Here is a 12,173-nt window from a genome sequence, read left to right as displayed (position 1 = left end):
AACCCAACAGTGTGTGGCTTCAAGGCCAGTGCTCATATTTCTATGCCACGCTATCACCAGAATTTTATGATTTTAAACTCAACCCAGCCAAGTACCCTGAGCCTGCCATGACTTGGGTAGAGCTTCCATCCTCTGTGTGGGGTTGGGTGCAAGAATACCACCAACAGAGCTCTTGGATACTATCTGTGAGCTTCATCTGAGCTTTATAACACAGTACCTCTCTAAGGCAAAGTACTTAGGGAAGTCCAAATTCAAGAGGAGAAACAAAACCAAGCACACTAAAATAATTCAAAGCCTCTAGTGCCCATGGCTGCAACAAACATTAAATATTTCAACTCACAATCAAATTAACAGAAATGCTCACAGTAAAGGTGTATTTACCTCGTTCCAATTACTCAATTCAACATATCTGACTTTTACCAAAAATTGAATGACATGACAAAAAAGGCAAGAAAAAACAATCTGAAGAGAAAAGGCAATTATCAAAACCAGATTAAGATATGAGAAAATTGCTATAATTATCAGACAGGGAATTTAGAACAACTGTGGTTAGTATGTTAAGGGATTTAATGGTAAAAGTAGACAGCATGAAAAAACAGATGGATGCTTTAAAGAGAAAAACAGAAACTGTAAGAAAATTTTTTAAATGCTACAAATCAAAAGCACTAAAATAGAAATGAAGATTGACTTTGATGGGCTCATTATTAGACCATATGGTTGAGTGAAAAATTAGCTTGAGGATAGTTCAATAGAAAGTTTTAAATTCAAAGACAAAAAAATTCAAAAACAATGGGACCATTTCAAATCTTTTGCATACACATTTGAAATACTGAAGAAGAGATAAAGAATGGAGCAAAAGTAGTATTTGAAGTAATAATGGCTCAGAATGTTCCAAATCTAATGATAGATCCAAAACCACAGATCTAGAAAATTCAGAGAACATTCATAAAATAAATTGTAAAAAATCTAAACCAAACTAACAAAAAACACCCTAATTACATCATATTCAAACTTCAGAAAACCAAAGACAAAGATAAAATCATAGAAAAGGCTGGGGTATGGGGAGCATCTTACCTATAGAGGAATAAGGATATGTTGGCCATCTTGTCAGAAACCAGGTGAACAAGAAGAAACTGGAGTAAAATATTTAGAGTGTTGGAAAAAATTCACCAAACTAGAATTCTACCTCCAGCAAAATTCTTCTTCAAATGTAAGGAAGAAATAAAAACCTTCTCAAAGAGCAATTGAAAAAAATTATCACTGGCAAATTTTCCTGCATAGAATGTTAAAAGGCTACACACTGGGTACGGGTACACTGCTCTGGTGATGGATGCACCAAAATCTCAGAAATTACCACTAAAAAACTTACTCATCTAATCAAACACCACCTGTTCCCCAAAAACCCATTGAAATAAAAAAAATTTTAAAAAATTTTAAAAACTTATGTAACCCTTTAAAGAGATAGAAAGTCATGATAACTAGAGACCTAGCACAGTTTCATTACAATGAAAGCTATGTTCAATTAGGTTTATTTTCTTCATTTGGCAGTTATTGGACTGGGGTATGAGAGTGAAATCAGAAATTAAGCTTATTTAGATCACATTCCAAAAAGGTCATACCATATTTCTGTCTGGCCTAAATGAAGAAATGTGGGCTGAGAATGAGAATGAGCTACTTCCATGACCAAATCCAAAGGATGTGGAGGAGGCTGGATATATGCAGATTTTGAAGGAAGATTACGTTTGGCCTTTTTCTGCTTACTATATTTAAAATAAAAATTTGCCTATTAAAGCTACAAAAGATAAAATGGTAAGAGTCACTAATATGCTACACAAAATAACTAAAAAATAAATAATCCATTGGCCCCAACAAAGATCCAAAAATAGTAGATGATTGCCTGAGTGGAGTAAATACAAAAACCTGTACCAAAGCTGAAAAACATCCACTGCATAATAGGAAAAGGAAGAAATGAGATTTAAAAGTCAACCATGCAAAAATATACCTTTTTTGTTTAATTGGCTATACACTCAAGTAAAATGGATTCCAAACTTAAACTTACATTATTATAATAAAAAATGATAGTTTCTATTGTACCCAGCACTTATCAGAACATATATGCCATTGTTCTGTAATTAGTTCTGAAGAAATGTTTTAAAAGGGGACATTGACAACCAGGGTATTCCAGAAGGCAGAACTTAGAATTTCAAACTATTTCAAAATCACTCTTATAGGAGAGAGGAGTTAAGGATGTTAGCCTAAAGACGGGTAGGCTAGAAGGACATTTGGTAGAACTCTCCAAATATTTGAACTGCCATTTAGTGGTTAGAGCAGACCTACTTCATTTGAGTTCAGAAACATAACTAAGATCAATAAGTAGAATGTATAGAAAGTAAGATATAGAATCAACAGCAAGAATAATTTTTTAATAATTAGAGATATTGAAAATGGGAGACATTAATAGCCAAGGACCACATAGAGACTTAATCTTACCAAAAATTTTTAAAATGCAAACAAAAACAAGATGCTACCATAAAAAAATTTTTTTGAGTCCATCAGACTGATAAAAACCATAGAGATGATAACATGGAGTTTAGGAAAAGATGTGGAGAAATGAACATGCATATCCATTGCTTGTGTGAGGGGAAATTGGTGCAACCATTGAGCAAAGGATCTACCAGAGCATAACATGTACATACTCAAATGAGATGCCTAGCATCTCCATTTCTAGGCATCTCATTTGGAAACATTCATGTCACTGTGCACACTATGTGCTCAAATACATTTATTGCAGAATTTTTTGCAATGCCAAAAATATTGAAAGCAACCTAAATCAATCAATCAGGGATTTTTTAAAAAGACATAGTATATCCATGCTCAGGACTATTATGCATGTATTAAAAGGAACAGAAAAGATCTATCTGTATGAATCCAGGACTTATTACTAAGTAAAAAATTAAGTTGCAGACTCGTAGTGTAATCTTGTACAAACAATAAGCCCCACCACGATGTTATTTGTTGGTACATCACAGAAAAATCACTTGAAAGTATACAAATCAAACTTTTCTATCAAGGGTGTGAGGTGAGGGGTTGGAGTCGAGGAAGACTCTATACGCTTTTGTAGTTATGGATTTATATGGGTAGGTTAGGTTTTTGTAATTAAAGAAATAAAGACTTCAAAAATGAAAAAGGAAAACAATTACAAAAATAATATATACTAATTTAAATACAGTAATAATCACTTCAAATGTGAATTGTCTAAATACACCAAAAATGGGAGACATTAATAGCCAAGGACCATGAAGTGGACTTAAATAGAAACCTAACTATACATTTTGTACAAGATACCCACTTTTATAAAGACTCAGATAGGTTAAATACAGTGGAATGGAGAAAAACATTTGGTGCTTGCTAATAAAAACAAAGTTGGAGTAGCTATATTAATTTCAAAGTAGACTCTAGAATAAAGGCTATTATTAGAGACAAGGAGGGAGATTACATAATGTTAAAAGGCCAGTGCTTAAGGAAGGCATAATACTGCTTAATATGTATGCCAATAAAAACAGTATCAAAATATGTGAGGCAATATCTGACAGAACTACCAAGAGAAATAGACATATTCATGATTATAGTTGTAGATAAATACCACTCTTTTAATAACTGATGGATCAAGCAGGCAAAAAAATTAGTAAAGATATAAGTGATTTGAACAGACCTACTGATCCACTTGATCTAACTGACATTTATAAAATATTGTCTTACCACAGCTGAATACATATTTTTCTCAATATCACATGATAAATAATTGAGATAGATCACATTGATGCCATAAAACATATAAAATATATTTTTTTAAAATTACACAATATCCATTTTTAGAGCAGAGTGTTATTAAACAACAACAAAAATTCAATGAGAATAGCTCAAAATTTCCAAATATTTGGAAGTTAAGTAACACACTTCTAAATATTATTCATAAAAGAAATGTCAAGAGAAATTAAAATATTTCAAACTAAATCAGAATAGAACTATAACTTATCAAAATTTGTTGGATGCAATGAAAGATGTGTTTAGTGAGAAATTAACATTAAATGCATATGTTAGAAAAGAAAAAAAATCTAAACATAATAGCCTAAGCTTCCATCATATAAGTTCCAGAGAAAGAAGAGTAATTATAGCTGAAATCAAGCAGAAGAAATAATAAAAATCAGGGAAGAATTGAAGAAAACTGCAAACAGGAAAACTATAGAGTAAATCAATAAATACAATTTATTGATTATTTGAAAAGAACAATAAAATTAAGGAATCTCTAGCCAAGCTAATTGAGAATGAAAAGAGAGAATACATAAATTGAAAATATTTGAAATGAAAGAGTGGTCCATAGATATTAAACATATCCTATAAATATTCATTAAAATAATAATAAAAGAATACTATGAATAAATCTATGTCCACAATTATCATAAATTAAATGAAATGTAAGTAGTTATTTCTTGAAAGACACAAACTACCAAAACTTACACAAAATAGTAATAAGTAATCTATTAAAAACTTAATACCTGTTAAAATTGATTCAACAATTAATAACATTCTAAAAGAGAAGGCACCAGGACAATTTTAAGAGGCAAATAATCTGAACAGAAACCCTTTCTAAGAAAATACATTTTTGCAAATAAGCATATGAAAGATGCTCAATATTATTTGTTTAGAGGAAAATGCAAATTAAGGCAACTATGTGATAACACTATGTATCATTTAGAATGTCTAAAATTTAAACCAATATCAATTGCTGCAGGTGATGCAGACAAATGGAATTCACCTTCATTGCTGTTTGCAATGCAAAATGATTTAGCCACTTTAGAACACAGTATAGCAGCTTTTTAAAAAGCTAAACCATTTAATCCAGCATTTACAGTCTTATGTATTTACCCAATTATTAAAAACTTAGGTTCACACTAAAACCTGCATGCAAATATTCATAGTGTTTTATTCATAATTCCAAAATCTGAAAGCATCTGAGATGTTCTTCAATAGGTGAATGGATAAACAACCTGTCGTATAGCAATACAAATAGAGTATTAGTCAGTGATTATAAATATAGTGTTAAATGAAATCAAGGCACAAAACAATATATATCTGATTTCATTTATATAAATTTCAAAAATATGGAAAAGTATCCACGGTGCTAAGAGATAGTGGTTGTCTTTGGAGAGTAGAGAAGTAGAGATTTTAAACAAGGAATCACAGTAGCAGTTTTTTATCCAATTGTTTTTCTTGTCTTAGGTTGTGCTTCGATGAGTATATTTATTTCACAACAATTAATCTAGCTTTATACTTATGATTCTCCAGTTTTATGTATGTAAATTGTATTCATATAAAAAGTTTTTAAAAAGTTATTAATTTCTTGACTTTGTGTCCTTGGGCAATTTGCTTAACGTCTAAGAGCCTAGATTTGTTTCATACATAAAATTGTTACGATAATGTAAAGTTGTTTGGAAGATTAATTGTAAACATTTTGGCACAAAGATTAACAAATACAAAAATGATAAATAAATAACAGCAATAGTTTAAAGCCCAAAATGTTAGTCCAAGTATAAACATCTTACTAAAACCTTATTTTTCAGTAAATCTAATAATTTAGATTCAAATGGAATAGGTGTTCCTTAAATTAGAATTGTGTAGAAAAGAAACATTTATTCCACAAATACTAAGCGTTTACTGTGTCAACAGAATTATTCAATGCACTCAAGATACATTAATTAACAGTTAAGTAAAAACACTCCTGACTCTTTGTAGCTTAAATTAAATGACAGGGACATACCTTAAACATAAGAAATAAAAATTTCATATTGTTAAGTTATAAGGTAAAAATTGCTAAGTAAAAATGCAGAATAGATGAAGCTACACCCATTTCTTTTGGATGGGGAAAGGAATAACTGAGGAAAAGCAATGCATTCCAAAAAGACAAAAGTTGAAAAAGCCTGAAACTCACAGGATCTACTGATGGATAACATGTGTGGTGGGGAAAGAAAAGAGTCAATGATGGTGCTCGAGGTTTGGGCAGGTGAAACTTCAATAATGCGGTTGTTACTAATTGAGATGGGAAAGGCTGGAGAAAGGTTTTACTCAGCCTTACAGTGCTCCAATGTGAACAAAACCTTGGGATTATGTCAGAGATCTCTATAATCACCAATTCTTAAATTTTGATTCTGGTGAAGAGAGACTAGATTCACCCTTCCACCTATATGCTAGCATTTTGAAAGCAAAATGAGGAAGAAGGCTGGTATGAATGAAATGATAATGGAGTCTCCATCTTCATCAAGTAAATTCTCATTTATTTCCAGTTTACACTATGCTACCTATGATAAGTCAGGTCTGTGTTTCCCGATCTACAGATACTGTTTTACCTAGGCAAGAGAATAATTCTCAAGTATCCTGTCAAGGGTGAGTAGGTAGGAGATGGGAGAGCACCCTCCTTGACTGTGGAGTGGGGAAGGGGATCTGAGATTATACCAGGTTTCTTTTTTTTTCTTTTTTTGGAGGGGGAGCATTAGTCTGGGTTTCTCTAGAGTATCAGAAATAATAGGATACTTGTATATATGAAAGGGAGTTTATTAAGGAATAAAAGGGAGTTTATGAAGGAATATTAACTCACACCATCACAAGATGAAGTCCCACGGTAGGTTGTCTGCAAGGTGAACAGCAAGGAAGCCAGTGGTGGATTAGTTTGCGTCCCAAAACCTCAAAAGTAGGAAGCAGACAGTGAAGCCTTCAGTCTGTGGTCAAAGGCTCAAGAGCCCCTGGCAAACCATTGATGTAAGTCCAAGAGTCCAAAAGCTGAAGAACTTGGAGTCTGATGTTCGAAGGCAGGAAGCATCCAGCACAGGAGAAAAATGAAGGCCAGAAGAATCAGCAAGTCAAGTCCTTTCATGTTCTTCTGCCTGCTTTATTCTAGCTGGGCTGGCAGCTGATTATATGGTGCCTAACTGGATTGAGGGTGGGTCTGCCTCTCCCAGCCCACTAACTCAAATGTTAATCTCCTTTGGTAACACCCTCACAGATACACCCCGGAACAGTACTTTGAATTCTTCAATCAAGTTGATCCTTAATATTAACCATCACAGGGGGCATAGTTTATATTTTGAAATAGCTTCAAATTTACAGGAAAGTTGCTAGAATCGTGTCAGGAAGTCTTATATACCCTTTATCCAAATGCAATGCTTGTTTCATTTTAGACCATTTACATATCTGTGTATTAATTTTACACATACAGGATTTTGTATGTATCTTATAGTGTATTAATTTTATACATACAGATTTTGTATGTATCTTATAGTAAGCTGAAAGTATTCTGATTCTTTAACCTTAAATAATTTAGTTCATATTTCTTAAGAAATTATACAATTTCTTACAAAACCACGGAAAAATTTTAAATACTAGGAAAAATAAGGAAATTATCCGATCTACAGACAATATTATATTCAATGAAGTTTCATAATAATGTATTTTATAGCTATTTTTCTTTTCCAGAAACAAATTCCACAATTGCATATTGTATTTAATTGTCATATTTCAGTCTTTCTTTCTATGTATTGAGTTTAACATTTTTTAAGAGGACAGGCCTGGTTATTTTGTAGACTATCTCCCACCTTAGGTCTGTCCAGTGCCTCCTCATGATTAGATTAACAGAAGTAATGATGTTTTGTCTTTCTCTGAGTTTCTTATTAGACACAATTTTGTTTGTCCCAATTTTGATTATGCTATGTTTGTTATTTTGGTTCAGGTGGTATTACCTACATTATTGAATGATATTATTACACTTTTTCCTTTGAAGTTAATGAGTAGATTTTTGGAGATACTTTGAAACAATGTCTTTCCAATCAACAACTACCCTGTAAGTTTAGCATCCACTGTTAATTTCAAATATATCATTTCTGCTATGCTTATTATTTGGCACTCTAGTGTAGGGAAGGGCTTTATTTATTTATTCATTTATTTACTTCTATGAGTATGGGTTTATGATTTATTACTTTATTGAGTTATTTCAATCCAATCCTTTCAATATTTACTTTGAATATGACAAGAGGGAGCCCTGTCAAACTGACTTGTGCATTTTGACATATTTCCCTAATTCTTTGAGCTCATCTTCCTCAATGCAACAAGATGCTCCAGGCTTATATTGCTCTTTTCTAGCCCTGAAAATGGTAACCATTTCTCCATTAAGCCATGGATCCTTTTAGTGGGAAATGGTATTTAAATATGAATGCTGGGTGTGCTTATTCTTTTTTTTCTCTCCTGCCTTTCCTCTTCTTCTTTCTCCCTTCTCTCTCTCCCTCTCTTTCTGTCTCTCTTTCTCTCTCTCTGTCACACACACACACACACACACACACACACACAAATATATATGATGTAAATAAATATTGATATTTTCAATCCAACATCACATAGTATATATTAGTTTTCCCCTTTCCAATACTGAAACTCTCTCAGCAGTGAGAAACATGGATTTCATTATTTTCAATATATTAACTAGAGTTTACTACCTGTCTACTTCTTTACACACATTGAAATTCACTGAGTTTAATGAGTTTTAACAAGTGAATATACTCGTGCAATGAATAACAATAATAAGATATAGAAAATTTCCTTCAAACCAAAGAACTCTCTCATTTGCCATAGGGGTAAATTATATCTCCCTATACCCCCGCAAACCCTAGGCAACCACAGTTAGATTATCTTTTCACTATAAATTAGTTTTGAATACTTTAGAACTTCGTATAAGGGAAATCTTATCATATGTACTTTCTTGTCTTTGGCTTATTTTGTTCATCAAATTATCTATGAGATTTACAAATAGTAAAGAAATCAGTTTTTCTTCTTTTTATTGATGAGTAGTATTTCATTGTACGAATTTGATGCACAGTGTGTATCTATCCTGCTGTAGATTGAATTTTGTATTTACAGCTGTAGTGCAATGGCACAATCTTGGCTCACTGCAATCTCCGCCTCCTGGGTTCAAGCAATTATTCTGTCTCAGCCTCCCAAGTAGCTGGGACTACAGGCACATGCCACTACACCTCGCTAATTTTTGTATTTTTAGTAGAGATGGAATTTCACCATATTGGCCAGGCTGGTCTCAAACTCCTGACCTCGTGATCCACCCGCCTCAGCCTCCCAAAGTGCTGGGATTACAGGCGTTAGCCACTGAGCCCGGCCTTTTGTAGACATATTTTAATATTTCTTGGATAAATCCTGAGGAATATAATTGCTAGGTCAAAGGGTAGGGAAGGGCTTTATTTATTCATTTATTTACTTTTTTATATGTTCAACTGCACGTTCAACTTTATAGGAAACTGCCAAGCATTTTATAGAATAGTCGCTGTATTAGTCCATTCTCATGCTGGTATAAAGAACTGCCCAATGTTGAACATTGTTTCATATGTTTGTTGGCCATTTGTGTATCTTCTTTTGAGAATTGTCTATCCATGTCCTAAGTCCACTTTTTGATGGGATTGTTTGTATTTTTCTTACTGATTTGAGTTCATTGTAGATTCTGGTTATTTGTCCTTTGTCAGATGTATAGATTGTGAAGATTTTCTCCCACTCTGTGGTTCGTCTGTTTACCCTGTTGACTGTTCCTTTTGCCATGCAAAAGCTCTTTAATTAGGTCGCAGTTATTTATCTTTGATTTTATTGCATTTGCTTTTGGGTTCTTGTCATGAAATCCTTGCCTAAACCAATGTCTAGAAGGGTTTTTCCAATGTTATCTTCTAGAATTTTTATAGTTTCAGTTCTTAGTTTAAATACTTAATCCATCTTGAGCTGATTTTTGTATAAGGTGAGAGATGAGCATCCAGTTTTGTTCTCCTACATGTGGCTTGCCAATTATCCCAGCACCATTTGTTGAAAAGGGGGTCCTTCCCCCACTTTATGTTTTGGCTTGCTTTGTCAAAGATCAGTTGGCTGTAAGTATTTGGGTTTATATCTGTGTTCCCTATATTGTTCCATTGGTCTATGTGCCATTTTTAGACCAGTACCATGCTGTTTTGGTGACACTATGACCTTATAATAGAGTTTGAAATCAAGTAATGTGATGCCTTCAGATTTGTTTTTTTGCTTAGTCTTGCTTTGGCTATGTGGGCTCCTTTTTATGATGGGTACACCAAAAATCTAACAAATCACCACTAAAGAACTTACTCATGTAAACAAATACCACCTGTACGAGAGTAACTTAAGAAATGCTACTTAAGAGGTTGACTCTAATACGTAAAAGTGTTTTGAGGATTAAAAGATGAAATTTAAAAAATAAAGTGATTATTGGAATAAAAAAGGAGCTGCCTGAGACTGAGTAATTGATAAAGAAAAGAAGTTTAACTGACTCACGGTTTCACAGGGCTGGTGAGGACTCAGGAAACTTACAATCGTGGCAAAAGAGAAAGCAAATGCATCCTTCTTCACATGGCAGCAGGAAGGAGAAGAATGAAAGTCAAGTGAAAGGGGAAACCCATTATAAAACCATGAGATCTTGTGAGATCCTGCTCACTATCACAAGAATACCACGGGGGAAGTCACCTCCATGATTCAATTACATCCCACTGGGTCCCTCCCACCACATGTGGGGATTATGGAAACTACAAATCAAGGTGAGATTTGGGTGAGGACACAGCCAAACCTTTTCAGTTGCTCTATTTCATATTAACATAAGCAATATATGAGAATTCCCATTGTTCCACACCCTTGCCCATATTTGATATTGATAGTTTATTTAAAATCTTGGTCATTAAGGTGAACACATAAAGTTATTCTGTGGATATAATTTGTATTTCCCTCTTGGCTAATGCTACATACTTTTTCCTAAGCTTTTATTTGTATATTTTTGTTTTAAGAGTGTTTGTTCAAGCCATTTGCCCAATTATTTATTGGACTTTGTACTTTGAGTTATGAGATTTTTAAAAAATACATTCTGGATATGTCTTTTATCATGCATATGTTCCTGGCTGTGAGTCACTTATTAATTTTCTTAGCAGTGCCTTTTGATGATCAGACTTTTTTAAATATTGATAAAACATAATTTATCATTTTCTTTTATGATAATTGTTTTATTCTGCCTAAGAAAATTTTCCTTACCCTCTGATAAATCTTGAGCCACTTTTCTTTTAACCTTTATGATTTCAGTTTGTAAATTTAGCTCAAGATTTATTTTGAATTAAGCTTGTGTGTGTTGTTATATATAAAACAGAGTTGATTATTTTTTCTACATGGATATCCATTTGTTCCAGCACCATTTGTTAAAAAATCTTTGTATTTCCCATTGAATTGCTCTGGAACATTCATTTAAAAATCAACTGAACTTACAAGCATTAGTTTACATCTCCACTATCATTTCTGTTCCATTGATTTGTTTGTCTTTTCATGACACTGCCACGGTGCCTGTAGCTTCATTGTAAGCTGTTAAATCTGATAATGTGAGTCTTCAAATTAATTTGTACTTATTCAAGATTATTTTGATTAATCTAAGTATTTTGCATTTTTAATTGTAGAATAATCTTGTCATTCACTACAAAAAGCCTGCTGAGATTATGAGGTAGATTTTGTTGTTTCTATAAATCAATTTTGGATATTTATCATTTAAAAAACATTCACAATTTCAGTCTTTTTAGATAGCTACATTTCTTCATTTATGTTTTTCTTTAATTACTCTCAGCAATGTTTTATAATTTCCAAAATAGATATCTTGCTTTGACTGCTGTTAAATTTCTTCCTAAGTATTTCAGGCTTTTTAATGCTATTGGAAATAGATATTTTTATTTAATTTTATACTTTTTTGGTGCTACTATGTAGAAATATAGTTGACTCTAAAATGGATACTCCATGTCCTCAGAGGTTGCAATATTCACTTTTTAGAACTAGAAGAGATTTGTTTTGGTGAATTACTTAATATTTGTATACCTTCAACAGAATCTTGTTTGAGAATACAGACAGTTTGACTTACTCTTTTCTAATCTTTATGCTTTTTATTTGTTTTTCTTGCCCTCTTTCACTGGCTGGGAAATCCATTTTAATGCTGAATGGAAGTTGTGAAAGGTGGCATCTGCATTTTTCTCAAACTAGAGAAAAAATAGTCAATATTTCACAATTAAAAATGACATTATTTGTAGAATTTGTCATAGTTGCTT

At 32.7% G+C, this 12,173-nt stretch overlaps 1 long non-coding RNA gene across 3 annotated transcripts in view, besides 1 other annotated feature; it reads right to left on the bottom strand.

The window, feature by feature from the left end:
- Nucleotides 1-12,173, bottom strand: part of LOC105374557 (uncharacterized) — a 485,690-nt gene that overhangs the window by 463,387 nt on the left and 10,130 nt on the right. The gene's annotated exons all lie outside the window — the stretch shown is intronic.
- Nucleotides 6,715-6,931: a silencer, noted in NCBI's record as "fragment chr4:28134504-28134720 (GRCh37/hg19 assembly coordinates)". NCBI's record gives its function as "represses an EF-1alpha promoter that drives an FKBP-Casp9 reporter gene in an ReSE screen in HepG2 liver carcinoma cells {active_cell/tissue: HepG2}" and the evidence as "EXISTENCE:reporter gene assay evidence [ECO:0000049][PMID:32094911]".

The sequence above is a fragment of the Homo sapiens genome, chromosome 4 (assembly GCF_000001405.40).
Source record: "Homo sapiens chromosome 4, GRCh38.p14 Primary Assembly".
In the NCBI taxonomy this organism is placed as follows: domain Eukaryota; kingdom Metazoa; phylum Chordata; class Mammalia; order Primates; family Hominidae; genus Homo; species Homo sapiens.
The sequence above is the reverse complement of the archived record's forward strand: the minus strand, read 5'-3'. Positions and strand labels throughout refer to the sequence as shown.